At 35.0% G+C, this 17,080-nt stretch overlaps 1 protein-coding gene across 23 annotated transcripts in view, besides 3 other annotated features; it reads left to right on the top strand.

The window, feature by feature from the left end:
• AHI1 (Abelson helper integration site 1) overlaps positions 1-17,080 on the top strand; it is a 214,209-nt gene that overhangs the window by 26,008 nt on the left and 171,121 nt on the right. For all 23 annotated transcript variants that reach the window (XR_001743480.3, XR_007059277.1, XR_007059276.1 and 20 more), the window contains 5 exons: positions 4,099-4,152; positions 5,360-5,919; positions 8,427-8,608; positions 14,020-14,239; positions 15,807-15,999. Coding sequence is in view for 19 of the 23 variants with exons in the window: in XM_047418943.1 (XP_047274899.1) it covers positions 4,099-4,152; positions 5,360-5,919; positions 8,427-8,608; positions 14,020-14,239; positions 15,807-15,999 (1,209 nt within the window). In the remaining 4 variants the exon portion in view is untranslated. The remainder of the gene's footprint in view (positions 1-4,098; positions 4,153-5,359; positions 5,920-8,426; positions 8,609-14,019; positions 14,240-15,806; positions 16,000-17,080) is intronic.
• Positions 6,306-6,355: an enhancer, noted in NCBI's record as "active region_25107". NCBI's record gives its function as "activates an Ori minimal core promoter by ATAC-STARR-seq in GM12878 lymphoblastoid cells {active_cell/tissue: GM12878}" and the evidence as "EXISTENCE:reporter gene assay evidence [ECO:0000049][PMID:35858748]".
• Positions 6,786-6,986: a silencer, noted in NCBI's record as "peak6140 fragment used in MPRA reporter construct". NCBI's record gives its function as "represses an SCP1 promoter by STARR-seq MPRAs in K562 erythroleukemia cells {active_cell/tissue: K562}" and the evidence as "EXISTENCE:reporter gene assay evidence [ECO:0000049][PMID:32103011]".
• Positions 7,020-7,129: an enhancer, noted in NCBI's record as "active region_25106". NCBI's record gives its function as "activates an Ori minimal core promoter by ATAC-STARR-seq in GM12878 lymphoblastoid cells {active_cell/tissue: GM12878}" and the evidence as "EXISTENCE:reporter gene assay evidence [ECO:0000049][PMID:35858748]".

Raw genomic sequence — 17,080 nt, 5'->3', positions numbered from 1 at the left:
CCTGATGTAAGCTATATCTTAATAAAGCTGATTTTAATAGCAGATAAACCAAAGCAAAAAAAAACCTGAATCATTTAAAGAGGTAAAAAATTGGCAAAGGTATAATAGGAACATGAATGAACAAATGTATTTGGGACGTTTCAAAATTCAAACATAATTTGATCCATGAAACTGCTGAATTCCACAAAGGAGACTTTTTTAAAAAAAATAGTACAGTACAACTAGAAGTTAACAAAAGTTTATAATTTACAAACTACTTGGGAATTTATCCCATAAAGCTGTTAGAGGGAAAAAGGAAATCAAAACCACAAAATCAGGCTATTTAAAAAGTAATGAAAATGTCAGTGTAATGCTATGAAAGGTAGAGATGCTACTGAAGATACTCTGGAAACTTCATTCATTGCTGTATTTAAAAAACAGAACTAAAGAAAAAGACAAATTAATAATAAAGTCATAAAATTAATGTTATTAGTGCAAAGGCTGACAGATCAGTGGTAAATAAACAAAAAACAGCCTTTTCTGATTAGTTTGCCTGGAGTTTCAATTTTAAAATTTTTTCCTTGAGACCATAAATCTTTCTTCTCTTTCTAATTCTTGATTAGCTCTTTTTTCTAATTATTTCTTTCAGGAGTATCCTCACAATTTGTATATATTGGTGCTACATTATTGGTACTCACTGAAAAAGTAGAAACAAAAATTTGCATATGCCCCATTTTAACATAATGGAAATTCAAGGTTATTGAGGTATGAATAAAAGTCATAAAAAACAAAAAGAAGATTCTGAAACAAATAGCAATTTTTTCAAATGTTATTTTATGTTCCAGGATACATGTGTAGGACTTGCAAGTTTGTTACATAGGTAACAAACCTCTCCACCCATCACCTAGGTATTAAGCCACACATGCATTAGCTATTTATCCTGATGCTCTCCCTCCCCCAAACTCCCTGACAGGCCCCAGTGTTTGTTGTTCCTCTCCCTGTGTCCATGTGTTCTCGGTGTTCAGCTCCCACGTACAAGTGATAACATGCAGTGTTTGGTTTTCTGTTCCTGCGTTTTATCCATGTCCCTGCAAAGGACATGATCTCGTTCCTTTTTATGGCTGCCTAGTATTCATTGGTATATATGAACCACATTTTCTTTATCCAGTCTATCATTGATGGGCATTTGGGTTGATTCCATGTCTTTGCTATTGTGAGTAGTGCTGCAGTGAACATACGCATGCATGTATCTTTATAATAGAATGACATATATTCCTTTGGGTATATACCCAGTAATGGGATTGCTTGGTCAAATAGCAATTCTGGTTCTAGGTCTTTGTGGAATCGCCACAGTGTCTTCCACAATGGTTGAACTAATTTACATTCCCATCAACAGTGTAAAAGCTTTCCTATTTCTCCATAGCTTCACCAGCATCTGTTGTTTCTTGACTTTTTAATAATTGCCATTCTGACTGGTGTGAGATGGTATCTCATTGTGGTTTTGATTTGCATTCTCTAACCATCAGTGATGTTGACCTTTTTATCATGTTTGTTGGCCCCATAAATGTCTTCTTTTAAGAAGTGTGTGTTCATATCCTTTGCCCACTTTTTTGTGGGGTCGTTTAGTTTTTTTCTCACAAATTTGTTTAAGTTCCTTATAGATTCTGGATATTAGACCTTTGTCAAATGGATAGATTACAAAAATTTTCTCCCATTCTGTAGGTTGTCTGTTCATTCTGATGATAGTTTCTTTTGCTGTGCAGAAGCTCTGTAGTTTAATTAGATCCTGTTTGTCAATTTTTGTTTTTATTGCAGTTGCTGTTGACATTTTTGTTATGAAATCTTTGCCTGTGCCTGTGTCCTGAATGGTATTGCCTAGATTTTCTTCTAGGGTTTTCATAGTTTTGGGTTTTACATTTAAGTGTTTAAGTTATCTTGAGTTAATTTTTGTATAAGGTATAAGGAAGGGGTCCAGTTTCAATTTTCTGCATATGGCTAGACAGTTTTCCCAGCACCATTTATTAAATAGGGAATCCTTTCCCTATTGGTTGTTTTTGTCAGGTTTGTCAAATACAGGATGGTTGATGTGTAGTCTTATTTCTGAGATCTTATTTCTGTTCCATTGGTCTGTATGTCTGTTTTTGTTCCTGTACCATGCTGTTTTGGTTACTCCAGTATAGTTCGAAGTCAGGTAGTGTGATGCCTCCAGCTTTGTTCTTTTTGTTTAGGATTGTCTTGGCTATACAGGCTCTTTTTTTGTTCCATATGAATTTTAAAGTAGTTTTTTCTAATTCTGTGAAGAATGTCAATGGTAGTTTAATAAGAATAGCATAGAATTTATAAATTACTTTGGGCAGTATGACTGTGGATTTGTCATAAATGGCTCTTATTTTGAGGTATGTTCCATAAGTACCTTGTTTATTGAGAGTTTTTAACATGAAGCAATGTTGAATTTTATCAAAGGCCTTTCCTGTGTCTATTCAGATAATCATATGGTTTTTGTCTTTAGTTCTGTTCATGTGATGAATTATGTTTATTGATTTGCGTATGTTGAACCAGCCTTGCATCCCGTGGATGAAGCTGACTTGATGGTGGTGGATAAGCTTTTTGATGTGCTGCTGGATTTGGTTGCAAGTATTTTATTGAGGATATTTGCATCAGTGTTCGTCAGGGATATTGGCCTTAACTGTTTTTTCTTTCTTTGTTGCATCTCTGCCAGGTTTTGGTATCCGGATGATGCTGGCCTCATAAAATGAGTTAGGAAATAGTCCCTCCTTTTCAATTATTTGGAATAGTTTTAGTAGAAATGGTTCCAGTTCTGTTGTGTACCTCTGGTAGAATTCAGCTGTAAATCCATCTGGTCCTGGGCTTTTTTTGCTTGTTTGTTTCTAGGCTGTTTATTACTGCCTCAATTTCAGAACTTGTTATTAGTCTCTTCAGGGATTCAACTTCTTCCTGCTTCAGTCTTGGGAGGGTGTATGTGTCCAGCAATTTATCCATCTTTTCTAGATTTTCTAGTTTATTTGCATAGAGTTGTTTATAGTATTCTCTGATGGTTGTCTGCATTTCTGTGGGGTCGATGGGGATATCCCCTTTATCATTTTTTATTGTGTCTATTTGATTCTTCTCTTAAGTGATTCTTGTGCCTCAGCCTCCCACGTAGCTGAGATTACAGGTGTGCACCGTCACGCCTGGCTAATTTTTGTATTTTTGATAGAGATAGGGTTTCACCATGTTGGCCAGGCTGATCTCGAACTCCTGACCTCATGTGATCCACCCACCTCGGCCTCCCAAACTGTTGGGATTACAGGCATGAGCCACCATGCCCAGCCTCATTGATTTTTTGAAGGGTTTTTTGTGTCTCTGTATCCTTTATTTCTGCTCTGATCTTGGTTATTTCTTGTCTTCTGCTAGCTTTGGGTTTTGTGTGTGTGTATTTTCTGGGGGTTTTTTTCCTTATTTATTTATTTTTACTGTTTTAAATTAAATATTGCTTCTAAAACAGAACATGTGAATATAATTAGATTTGATTAGTGAATTTTTTTGGAGGCTGTGGCACCATAATTTACCCTCAAAGAACAGATAGAATTTGGAAATATATTTTAGGTGAGCAAAAGAGTCTTAGAGTTGGTAAAATCTTAGATATGTATTGGGATACTAGTTCTTTCAGCATTTTTTAAATCACCTTTTTATATACATTGGATATTTTTTAACTACTTTTAAAATATGGGGAGTTTCAAAGATCAAACCCCAGTATGTATTGTTAAGTTTATTCATTTCTGGCACATTTCTTTATTTTGATTTTAGATTCATCTTGTAGCACCGAATGTTAACATGTAAGGTGCATACATTACAATGTGACATTGTGCATGACAAAATGAATCCAAAGTGTTAATCCAAAATGTTAATCTGAAGTTACATTCAGAGATTATTAATGAAATTCTGGAAGCATAAATTATGAGAGTACTCATCAAATGCTCTAAGATAGTATCACTATGTCCAGGTAAAAAAACTAAATAATTTTCCCAATAATTCCACATAGTTGAACATTAATTATTGGTTTTTCTTGATACAACTAATCTACGCTTAGCTGAAACTTTATTATGTCTTCCTTTTTAGCCTGACACTATTAGAAGCAATCTTCACTATATGAAAGAAACTACAAGTGATGATGTAAGTACTGCTAACACTAACAGCCTGAAGAAGAGCATGAGAGTCACTAAAAACAAATTGAGGAATACACAGTCAGCAATGGTTTTTGTCCATTCTGTTTTTCAACACATCAGTTAAACTTTTATTTTTATCATTCAGAATTTTATTTTAATATCAGCAGTTGGGTTTTCTTGCTCCAGTATGCTTTTGCATTTCTTTATTAATATTAACTATACTTGTTTTAAATACTTACATATGATATGTATTTTCCTTTGGTGTTCATTTATTTATTGTATTTGATTTGGTGGCTTTCCTTCATTGTGCTACCTTCCTTTAGTGTTTGTTAATTTTCAGTTGTCAAGCCATCTTTACATTTGAGAATCTCTCTTCTCTTCCTTGTTAGTTGTTTTTAACATGGTCTGCCTCTGCAGTTTATGGGAATTATACCTACCTGAAGCATACTGCCCTTTCTCTCTTTGCTGGGATGCTTAATCCCATGGGTGAAAGTCAACACAAATGGAGGTGGGAAACAGAGCTGTTCATCCCAGCTCCTCGATTGGTCATCCTCTAGTTTATCCCCTCCTCCTCTTCCTTGTATTACTTGACTCTTATCCTTATTTATTTTTTTCTATTAAAAATATATCTCATTTTAAATAATTTTAATTGGGGAAGGAGGTACAAGATTGTGCTTAGTCTGTCATTGGATTTAACTTAATATGTAATATTTAGCAGCATTTTAGTGATACACTTAGATTTACTGCAGGGTGATCTTAGAGCTGTAGACTTTTGCTTTTAGAGTGTAATTATGAAGCAAAATAAATGACCCATGTATATTTCCTATTGGGTGACCTGAAATGTCACATTCAATGGCTCTTTTAGCAATTTCTCGAATATCTATTAGAGTGTAGATCATGAGGAAAATATGTATGAGGAAAATAGCATTTGAGATTTGAGCAATTAATTCACTTCTTATAGGTCCTTAAGTACTTTTTTCCCATGTCAATTAACTCATTTAATCTGAAGTTACATTCAGAGATTACTAATCAAATTCTGGAAGCATAAATTATGAGAGTACTCATATGCTCTAAAATAGTGTCACTATGTCCAGATGAAAAACTAAATAATCCTCCCAATAATTCCACATTGTCAAATATTAATTATTAGGTTTTTCTTTATATAACTAATCTATGTGTAACTGAAACTTTGTTATCATGTCTTCTTTTCCTAGCCCGACACTATTAGAAGCAATCTTCCCCATATTAAAGAAACTACAAGTGATGATGTAAGTGCTGCTAACACTAACAACCTGAAGAAGAGCACGAGAGTCACTAAAAACAAATTGAGGAACACACAGTTAGCAACTGAAAATCCTAATGGTGATGCTAGTGTAGAGGAAGACAAACAAGGAAAGCCAAATAAAAAGGTGATAAAGACGGTGCCCCAGTTGACTACACAAGACCTGAAACCGGAAACTCCTGAGAATAAGGTTGATTCTACACACCAGAAAACACATACAAAGCCACAGCCAGGCGTTGATCATCAGAAAAGTGAGAAGGCAAATGAGGGAAGAGAAGAGACTGATTTAGAAGAGGATGAAGAATTGATGCAAGCATATCAGTGCCATGTAACTGAAGAAATGGCAAAGGAGATTAAGAGGAAAATAAGAAAGAAACTGAAAGAACAGTTGACTTACTTTCCCTCAGATACTTTATTCCATGATGACAAACTAAGCAGTGAAAAAAGGAAAAAGAAAAAGGAAGTTCCAGTCTTCTCTAAAGCTGAAACAAGGTATTTTTGCATTGATAAATGTAAAATATCCTCTTAGAAAAACACTGTTATTTTCAGGTTTTGAATATTATCTGTGGTTTAACAAAGAAAATTCTTACGCTTTTATTTGGAGACATTGTCACTAAGATAAGAACAGCTAACTTTTACATAACACCTTACTATGTACTAGGTGCTTTACGAGAATTAACTCATTTATTTCTTATGACAATCTTATAAGGAAAAGTAATATTCTTCCTATCTTGCTGATGAGGAAATGGAAGTACAGAACTAGTAAGAGGCTGAGCCAGATCCTTGTCCCTACCCTGAACTACTCACTTACATCTGCTTTCAAAGTAATAGAAACCTAATTACTTCCCCTTTTTTGAGTTACAAATACCTGTTTGGATATATAAATATAACTTTTTTTCTTATACAGATAACATTAGCTCATTGTAGAAAAACTATTCAAAGATAATCACTATTGGCAATTTGGTATTCTAATCTTTTTCTCTATATGATGCTTATATATGTATGTACTTCTATATAGAGTGTGAGGTTAAGTGAACATACACATATTTATATGTTTTCTATTTGGAGAAAACAATAAGGTAAAAATGCTTTTTAACTGCTATAATTAACTTTGTTCCCCCCTGCAGTTCTCCTCTAGAGAAACAACTTGAGGTGGGAACATTTTATATGTGACTATTCTTTGGCATTCAGCATCAATTTCCCCTAAAGCCCTCAGCCAAAAATAATTCCCCTCTTTTCAAAAGCTAGGTGACCGGTGGTAATAAAGATACGGCAAACCAAGTTGCTGCAGGGACATGATAGTATATATTAGTTATCTGTTGCTCCATTAAAAAGATGATCCCAGAATTTAGCAGCTTAAGACAACAAGCATTTACTGTCTCAGAGTTTCTGTGGGCCAGCAATCTGAGAGTGACTTCACTGGGTGTCTCTGTCAATCACAGGTTGCAATCAGGATGTTAGCTGGGACTGAAGTCACCTCAAGCCTTGACTGGGGGAGGATCTGTCAAGTGACATAGCTGTTAGAAGGCCTTAGAAGATCCAGTTCTAAGCTCATTCATGTGGTTGTTGGTAGGCCTCAGGTCCTGACTGGCTTTGGGCCCGGTATACCAGTTCCTTGCCACATGGACTGTCTCCATATGGTCTACACACAACATGGCCACTTGCTTCCCCAGACCAAGGGCTCTGAGAGAGTGAGAGCAAGACAGAAGTCACAGTCTTTTTGGAACCTAATCTTATAAGTGGCATTCATTACTTTTATCATATTCTGTCTGTCAGAAGTAAGTCACTAGTCCAGCCCACACACAAAAGAAAGGGGATTACACAAAGACATGAATATGAAGAGGTGGGGATCAGTAAGGTCCATCTTAGAGGCTTCCTACCATAGTATACTATAAATCTTCCTTCTCATAGCTACCACCTCTGTGGTAGACTGGTAAGCCATAGTCAATATGAAATAGGGTTAGCTCATGAATTTTTAATAACACGTGACAGTGGCACGCAAAGGGTAGCTGTTCTCCTTAAAGAACAGGGTTTGGTGATGTGATCAAATAGAATGGCTTTCTGGAATGACTAATTTGAAATATTTCTCTAGTCTTACTTTCCTCAACCCATTTTTTTTTTGAAATATGACTAAAAATATTGGAAATTAATTTTTTATTATTTACATGCAGATTTTTTACTAGATACATTAAAATGTTAGTAGGCTGGTTTTTCTTTAAACTCAGTATGCTTCTGGGTTGCTACTTCTTACCATTTACTAGTTCATGTGATATAGATTTTAATTTTAGTAATAGCCTTCTGAAAATGTAGTGACTCACCAAGGAATTAATTTTTACCTAGAAATCCATGCCTGAGCAACATAGTGAAAGTCCATCTCTACAAAAATTACAAAAATTAGCCAGGTATGGTGCCTGTAGTCTCAGCTATTTGGGAGGCAGAAGTGGGAGGATTGCTGGAGCCTGGGAGGTTGAGGCAGCAGTGAGCTATGATTGTACCACTGCACTCCAACTTGGGCGACAGCGCGAAACCCAGTCTTAAAAAAAAAAGAAAAGAAAAAAGAGAAATCAAAAGTTGTGCATGTGAAGCCTCTTGAAGACGGAACAAACCTAGAATACTTTTTATACCTTTAAATAAGGTAATTTAAAAATTGGTTGATAAATCATTTACTTGGCAGCAGGGTGGGCATGCTTTGATAAGTCCTATGTAAAGAGAGATCAATTGCTCATAAAATATTAATACAATTTCCCTTTCCCCTGGGGTTTAGAGCTCAGTTTTAGTTGAATCGTGTAACTCCTCACGAAGTATAAAATACCACCTATGATACCTATTTGACACTTAACCATTTTAGTGTATAAGAAAATACATGCATCTCTCAAGAGACAATAATAGTGATTTTAGGATTATCTTTGCTCCTATTTACTGTTCACTCTGTTGCATCATGAATAATAATTATAATGATAATATATCTGTAATGGCTGATACTTGGATTATATTTGTAGTACATTGACCATCTCTGGTGACACAGTTGAAGGTGAACAAAAGAAAGAATCTTCAGTTAGATCAGTTTCTTCAGATTCTCATCAAGATGATGAAATAAGCTCAATGGAACAAAGCACAGAAGACAGCATGCAAGATGATACAAAACCTAAACCAAAAAAAACAAAAAAGAAGACTAAAGCAGGTTTGCTATACAAATTAAATGAAAAATTGTGTATGTTGGTAGAAATAACTTGATTCTAGGAATTTTAGCCCTTTAAAACTGATGGGTATACTTGAAAATAATTCAATATAGGATATTTGGTACTTGTTCTTGAATTCATCTAGATTAAAGCACACATGTATTTGTAGCTGTAGGTCTCTGATGAGTTTGTATCACTTGAGTCTTCTCTGATTTTTTTTATTTTTGAGATGGTGTCTTACTCTGTCTCCCAGGCTGGAATGCAGTGGCACGATCTCGGCTCATTGCAACCTCCACCTCCCGGGTTAAAGCGATTCTCCTGCCTCGGCCTCCTGAGTAGCTGGGATTGCAGATGCATGCCACCATACCCGGCTAATTTTTGTATTGTTAGTAGAGACGGGGTTTCACCATGTTGGCCAAGCTGGTCTCGAACTCATGACCTCAAGTGATCCACCTGCCTCAGCCTCCCAAAATGCTGGGGTTACAGGCATGAGCCACCATGCCTGACCTTCTCTGATTCTTGTCATACTTTAAATTCAACTCTAAAATGATACTGACTTTGTAGTTGCTATTGGGTCATAGAGGATTTCTTCTTTAAACCATTGAGTTTACATCCTCTAAATGGTTAGGACTCAGTTGTTGAAAGCTATAAATGGTCAGCAGCCAATAAACATTTCTGATGTTAAGGCTGCATCCTGTCCAACATGGTATCCTCCCAATTCGTCAGCCTAATACCACTTCTTTCCTTTCTCAACTTTTCTCTTTGCCTTGTTGATTTCTGTCTTCTTCTTTTCTTGTTTGTTTTCTCTTATTTTTCTTTACATGTTCTTTTCTACTCATACATCCTTTTTTAGTCTTTCAGTTTCCATTTGATTGGCCAAAAATTGGGATTAAAATGGGCAATTTTAGATTTTATAGTACTTATTCATTAGAAGATGTAAGTGATGATGTTTTGTGGTTTCTATAATTAAAATTTTAAAATCTTTTGTTGAAGCATAATGTGTATATAGATATATATAGAAAAGCACTAAGCAGTATACTTGTTTTATGTGTTTCTATATATATAAAGCACTAAGCAGTATACTCATATACATATTTTTAAAGTTTTTTTCACAAACTGAACATACCTATAAAATCATTACCTAAATTTGGAAACAGAACATCATTAGCACCCAGAAAAATCACCTTCCCGTTAGTTGCCCTGTGGGAGTAACCACTACCTGGACATCTAACAGAGTTTATTTTTGCTTATTTTTATACTTTAATATGAATAGAATGATAAATACTGTGCTCCTTGTGCCTGACTTTTTTTACTCAATGTTAATTTTGTAAGATTTATACTACTGTTGCTTGCATACAGTTGAGCTTATTCATTCTTAATTCTGTTTTTGTATTATTTAGATATCCATTGTGTGAATATACCACAGTTAATTTGCCTATTTTATTGATGGTCATTTGAGTTGTTTCTAGTTTTAGGCAATTATAAGTAAAGCGGTAATTCACATTGCAGTCACGTATTTGGTAAGCACATGCATACCTTTATCTTGGGCATATTGTTAGGAGTAGAATTGCTGTCATAGATTATGTATATTTTTTGCTTTAATAATTACTTCCAGTTTTCCAAAGTTGGTTTACCAGTTGACACTAGCAGTGTTTGAGAGTTCCAGTCACTCCACATCTTTACCAACATGTAATACTGTTTTTTAACGTTTTAGTCATTCTTAGGAGTGACTAAATTTTCCTCATTCTTCAGGAATGTATAGTGATATTCATTTTGGTTTTAATTTTATTTCCATGGTAACTATTGAAGTTGAGTGTTTTCATGTTTATTAACTACTTAGATTTTGACATTTGTAAATATATTCAAGTTGTCTGCATTTTTTAAAACACAGAATTGTCTTTTTCTAATTGATTTGTAGTGATAGGTTTATATACCTCAATATGAGATTATTCTCAGATATAAATACCTACCCACATTTATATCGCAAATGTCGTCCTACTCTGGTTTGATTATTTCTCTCTCATTGGTGTCTTTTGAAAAACAGAAATTTTTGTATTGTCCAGTTTATCCATTTTTTTCCTTTGATGGTAAGTGCTGTGATTTAAGAAATCTTTCCTAAGTTCTGAAGATATTTTTCTAAAAGTTTTATTCTAAAAGTTTTACTGTTTCTGTTTTACTTTCACATTTAGATATGCAGTTCATCAGGAATTGGTTTATGTTTATGATAGGAAGCAGTGATCAAGATATCCATGTGAATATATATTATGATTGACCCAGTACCATTTACTGAAGAGAGTGTCTTTTTCCCTCTGTGTTGCAGTGTCACTTTTCCCATAAATAACATGACTGTGTTACATGTGGATCAGTTTTTGTAGTCTCTATTCTTTTAAATTAGACAGTTTGTACCAACACTACCATGTCTAAATACTGTAGCTTTTTAATAGGTCTTGCTATTTAGTATTATACTCTAGGTTTTTCCTTCTTCATCTGCATTGTCTAGGCTATTCTTTACTTTGCATTTCTGTATGGATTTTAGAAGAGCTTCTCCATTCTCCCTCTTCCTTTTTACCCTCATTCTGTCTTGCAAGCTGTGATTTTGATCTAGACTGGGTGAATCTAAAGAGTCACAGCATAACAACTCTCTAAAGAGACTTGACATTTTTACACAGTATTGATTCTCAGGCTATGAATTTGGTATGCACTTCCATTTATTTGCATCTTATTTAATATATCCCAGCAATATACATTTCAGCAGAATCTCTCCTTAGATTTATTCCTGGGATTTGATGTTTCTTAATGATATTATAAATGGCATTTAAAAAATTTTTGTTTTGTATTTGTTGCTGGTACATATATGTAGAAATGTATTTAAAATTTTTTAACATTGTGTCCATTGATTTGCTAAATTCACTTATTGCAAGAGTTTATTTATTTATTTATTTTTGAGACAGGGTCTTGCCCTGTCACTCAGGCTGGAGTGCAGTGGCGTGATCTCAGCTCACTGCAACTTATACTTCCCAGGTTCAAGCGATCTTCCCACCTCAGTCTTCCAAGTAGCTGGGACTACAGGCATGCACCACCATTCTTGGCTAATTTTTGTAGAGACAAGGTCTCACTACATTTTCCAGGCTAGTCTCAAACTCCTGGGCTCAAGCAGTTCTCCCACCTCAGTCTCCCAGAGTGCTGGGATTACAGATGTGAGCTATCGCGGCCCACAGAGTTTATTCTTACATTGTTTGGATTTTTCTACATATGCAATCATGTAATACGTTAATAACGATAGTTTTATCGCTTCTTTTTCAGTCCTTATGCCTTATCATTTTGCTTGCCTTGATACAAATCAAGATTTAATCTCTTTATTATCAATCTTTTTTTTTTTTTTTTTTACTTCTGTCAGCTATTTGATATACTGTAGTTTTTGAGGGATGTGTCTATTTCATCCAAATTTTGCATTTCTATAGCATCTGAAAGGCTGTCCCATGTTTTCATTCATGGTATTGGCAGTTTGTTTTCTCTCAATTTCTTGATCAGCCTTAGGATTTTAAATTTATGAGTCTTTTCAAAAACCAACCTTTAGCTTTGATTTTCTCTGTTGTACATTTATGTACTATTTTAGTGATTTTTTTTCTTGTAACTGTATTTTCCTTCTTTGTACTTATTTGGGTTTGATTTGCTACTTATTTCTAGCTTTAAAATTGGGTTTTATAAGAAAGATTTCAGTCTTCTTTTATATGCATTTAAGACTAAATTCCCATTTAAGTACTACTTTACCTGCATCTCCAAAATTTTTAATATTGTGTGTTTTTATTATTTAACACAAAATATTTTCTAATTTCCATTTTAATTGATCATTATTTAGAAGTATGTTGCTTAGTTTCAGGCAGCAGATGCTTTTCTAGTTATCTTTTATTGGTTTCTGTCTTCCATTGTTGTCAGATAACATATTATGAATGATTTCAATCCTCTGAGTTTATTGAGGCCTTTTTAATGACCATTTTATGGTCAGATTTGGTAAATATTCCATGCTCATTTGAAAAGAATGCAATTTCTAATGTTGAGTGCAGTGTCCTATGTATGTCAGTTAGGTCAAGTTTAATTGTGCTCAGTTCTTCTTATTAATTTTTTTGGTCTACTTATTCTGTCAGCTGTTGAGAGAGGTATTAACATTTCCATTCCGATTTTCAGTTTATTTTTCTTGTATCTCTTGTCAAGTTATCACTTTTATCATAATGCAGCGCCCTTCTTTATCTCTAATAATTCATAGCCCTAAATACGATGGGAGATCCAGTTTTGCCCTTCAGTGCTTTTCCACTTAGCCATTTAGTCTTCTGTCTCATGCTGCTTCAAAATTTGGCAAATTCTTTGAGCAGGAGACTGGCTATATGTTAGACATCCTTCAGGTATCCATTTTTGTCACTGTAGCCCCCAAGCATGCCAAAATATCCGCTGGTTTCTCTGTCCCTCAGTAGCAACCTTCTGCCAGAAATCACACCTGGATTATCAACCTAGAACTGTGACCAGAATTGGTAGATGACCCCAGATGAAAAGTTGCTCTTGGTCCTTAGTGTAAATTGACCACACCCTCCAGGGCTTCACCTTTGCCTATTTTGTTTTGGTCCCCTTCCCCTGGCAGATCATGGTCTGCTAGCACCACAAGCCTGGGAGATTTCACTACCTCTCTAGCTTCTCTGTAGCATCAGAATTCAGTTTTGTGAGAAGAATTGGTCATGTGTTTGAGGCTTCTCAAATCTCCAGTTTTATCATTTTAGTCCTGTGGAATCACTAAAAGTTTTGCTTATTTCTCATTCTCCTGGCAGTGACTTTCTGCCTAAGCCAAACTCTCATCTTCAGCTCACACCCTGAATCAGCAAATGTCCCCAGAGACAAAAACAGCTGCCAGTCCATCAGCTGACCTCTGACTGATTCTCCCTTTCTGGAATTTTAATCTGTCTACTATATCTTCTTTCTGTACTTTTCTGATGCCTTTAAAATTTAAAATAAGATATTTGTAATTTATTTGGCTCTTTCCAGTTGTTACCCAAAGTGTTTACCTGCTGCATCCTACTGCATCCCACCCAGAATTAGAAATTCTAGTTGTCATATATATTCTACTTAGAAAATACCTGGATAAAGTTACTTTTCTGACTTTGACTCTCTTTTTTTTCTTTTTGTGTTTCTCCTACTTATTAGGAAAAATATAAACAAGGATTTTTCACCTTATTTGTAATGTATTAGCAAATGTAGTATTTTACTTTCACACTATGGTTTGCTGTTGTCTGGCTTTTTCTTTCTTTCCCCCTGAAGTTCCTTTGAACACAGTGAGATCATCACAGATCTTAAAGATTAGGTTATATGTAAATACTACTATGGGAACAACTAATTATAACATTGATTTTTTTTTCCATGCGTGTAGTTGCAGATAATAATGAAGATGTTGATGGTGATGGTGTTCATGAAATAACAAGCCGAGATAGCCCGGTTTATCCCAAATGTTTGCTTGATGATGACCTTGTCTTGGGAGTTTACATTCACCGAACTGATAGACTTAAGTCAGATTTTATGATTTCTCACCCAATGGTAAAAATTCATGTGGTTGATGAGCATACTGGTCAATATGTCAAGAAAGATGATAGGTAATTTTTTTTAATTGCACAACTAATTCTTGAAACTGAAACTAGTAGAAGTCTTTTTTCTGCCATTGGTAGTTGAAAGTCAGTGGGAATAGAGTTATGGATTTGTATTAGAGAATAGTCTACTAGTTGTAGGTGTTCATCAGTCATTAACATTGATCAGAATGTTGTAGAAGAAATGGAGAACATCTAATTCAGTAATTACTTTTTTTCCGAGATGGAGTCTCGCTTTGTCGCCCAGGCTGGAATGCAGTGCTCAATCTTGGCTCACTGCAACCTCTGCCTCCTGGGTTCAAGCGATTCTACTGCCTCAGCCTCCCAAGTAGCTGGGATTACAGGCACTCGCCACCACTCCTGGCTAATTTTTGTATTTTTAGTGGAGGCGGGGTTTGGCCAGGATGATCTCGAACTCCTGACCTCAGGCGATCTACCTGCCTCACCCTCCCAAAGTGCTGGGATTACAGGCATGACCCACCGTGCCTGGCTCAGTAATTACTTTTAAGTGGAAGGGAATAATTCATTTTAAGTGGTAGAGAGCTTCTGCCAGCTTAGTAGATGTAATTTATGACATAAAGTTGCATTGTAAATATTTTATATTGCATTGTAAATGCTTTAATTGTCTAACCTCATATTTTTCTTTTGAAAGTAATGTTATCTGGGCTTCAGGTAAGGTAAATGAATCTTGAATGTTTTTTCTAAGAGTACTTCTATAGCTAATGCATGCTTGAAATCCCAAATGAAAAGTACAATGAAATACACATTTATACTAGAATTTTTTAAAAAATTGTTTGGAAAGCCAGTGGGGAATGGAAACAGGAAGATTGTCCAAAAAAAGCCCATTCACCTATTCATTTGCCTTAGGGCACACAAAGAAAATATGACAACTCAAAGGGTTTACAGTCTTGTGCCTTTTTTATGTAAAATCAATTTTATGTCTTTTTTTTTTTTTTTTGAGACAATATCTCACTGCGTCTCACTGGCTGGAGTGCAGTGGTGCAATCACAGCTTACTACAGCCTCAACCTCCCTGGGCTCAGGTGATCCTCCCACCTCAGACTCCCACGTAGCTGGGACTGCAGACATGTGCCACCATGCCCAGCTAACTTTTTTTCTATTTTTTGTAGAAACGAGGTTTCATCATGTTACCCAGGCTGGTCCCAAACTCCTGAGCTCAAGCAGTCCACCTGCCTCAGCCTCCCAAAGTGCTGGGGTTACAGGCTTGAGCCGCTGTGCCTGGCAATGTCTATTTTATTATAAACTCTTACAAAATTCTGAAGGAGTTAGTTTATCCCAGCTTTATATGGCAAAGGTATAATCATACTTCTCACTTTATATTTCTATAATAAAATAATCATGTGAAACCAATTGATAGTAGACAAATATAAGATGGACTGTTACTTTTAAGTCTTATAAAATTTGTAAGTTTCTAGATGGACACTCAGAATAATTTTTCCTTTTGTATTATTATGACTATTCATTATTTCTGGTTGCCTCACCTTGTACACTATATATTTTTTTCTCACCTCAAAATTATGAAAATTGTGTTAATGGAAGTATCTTTTTTTGTACAGTGGACGGCCTGTTTCATCTTACTATGAAAAAGAGAATGTGGATTATATTCTTCCTATTATGACCCAGCCATATGATTTTAAACAGTTAAAATCAAGACTTCCAGAGTGGGAAGAACAAATTGTATTTAATGAAAATTTTCCCTATTTGCTTCGAGGCTCTGATGAGAGTCCTAAAGTCATCCTGTTCTTTGAGGTATGAATTGAATGGACCAATTCAAATTAAACGATAGTTAATATTTAATAGCACAAATGTAAGCTATTATTTTTAGTAGTCCAGTAAGGCAAAAAAAAAAGTTGTGTGAGAATTTAATCTCTAGGATTTAGTTTTCCAATGCTGTGGAATCAAGTGAGACGCCCTTTTATAAACAGTGATAGCATATTTGCTGAGTGTTTACTATTTAACCATTTGGCCTACTTTGTATAATTTAATAATTACAACAGCTCTGTGACTGTTAACTGTAGTGAAGTGATGAATCCACTCGATATGAATGCATTTCTCCATTTTAAACCCATTTCACAAAGCATAAACTCATTTAACCATGTCAGGCACCCTAAGAATATGTGTACCACCTGGATAAATAAAGATAAATGTACACAGATCAGTTAATGCAGTTTAATATGTAACCAAAAATGATGTAGAACTTATATGTGAAGGGTTAGTGGCGGGTCAGTGGAGTCAGGGAAAGCTTTATGGAATACATGGCTTTTGAGCTGACTAGTTGTTATTATATAATTTTCTTACTGAAAATGATAACAAGGTTTGGAATAAAAGTGATTTCCCCAAAGTTACTCGAATTTTAAGTTAAAAAAAATGCGTTTGCAGATAGTTTGAACCTAGAATACCACATTTCTTTACTCTATCATGTGTTCTGTCTCCATAAGCAAAGGACAATAGAGAAAGCCCCCTTCCAGTGTAAGCTAGATGGAGAAGTTTAGCATGGGAACAGCAGGGGACTTGGCATAACCAGTGCCGAAGATTCATTTTGTAGAATTACTTGTTTTTATGATCCTTGACTTTCAGGTTGTCTATTTGTATTTATGATACAAATATTCCAATATTTACATTTGTGATTATGTTGTGTGTGATTTACATAAAGCTGTTATTGTTGAAAAATTGATATAATTTGTATCTTAAGGAATTTTTTGTCTTCAAACTTTGTCATTTGTTACAATTTTCTTCTGTATTCATTTTAGTATTAAGAGATGAAGAAGGATAGATTGTTGTATTATAAACGCTTTTGGTTGCTTCTTAAGTTTTAATGTAATATGTTATT

This window comes from Homo sapiens, chromosome 6, assembly GCF_000001405.40.
Source record: "Homo sapiens chromosome 6, GRCh38.p14 Primary Assembly".
NCBI classification, from domain to species: domain Eukaryota; kingdom Metazoa; phylum Chordata; class Mammalia; order Primates; family Hominidae; genus Homo; species Homo sapiens.
The sequence above is the reverse complement of the archived record's forward strand: the minus strand, read 5'-3'. Positions and strand labels throughout refer to the sequence as shown.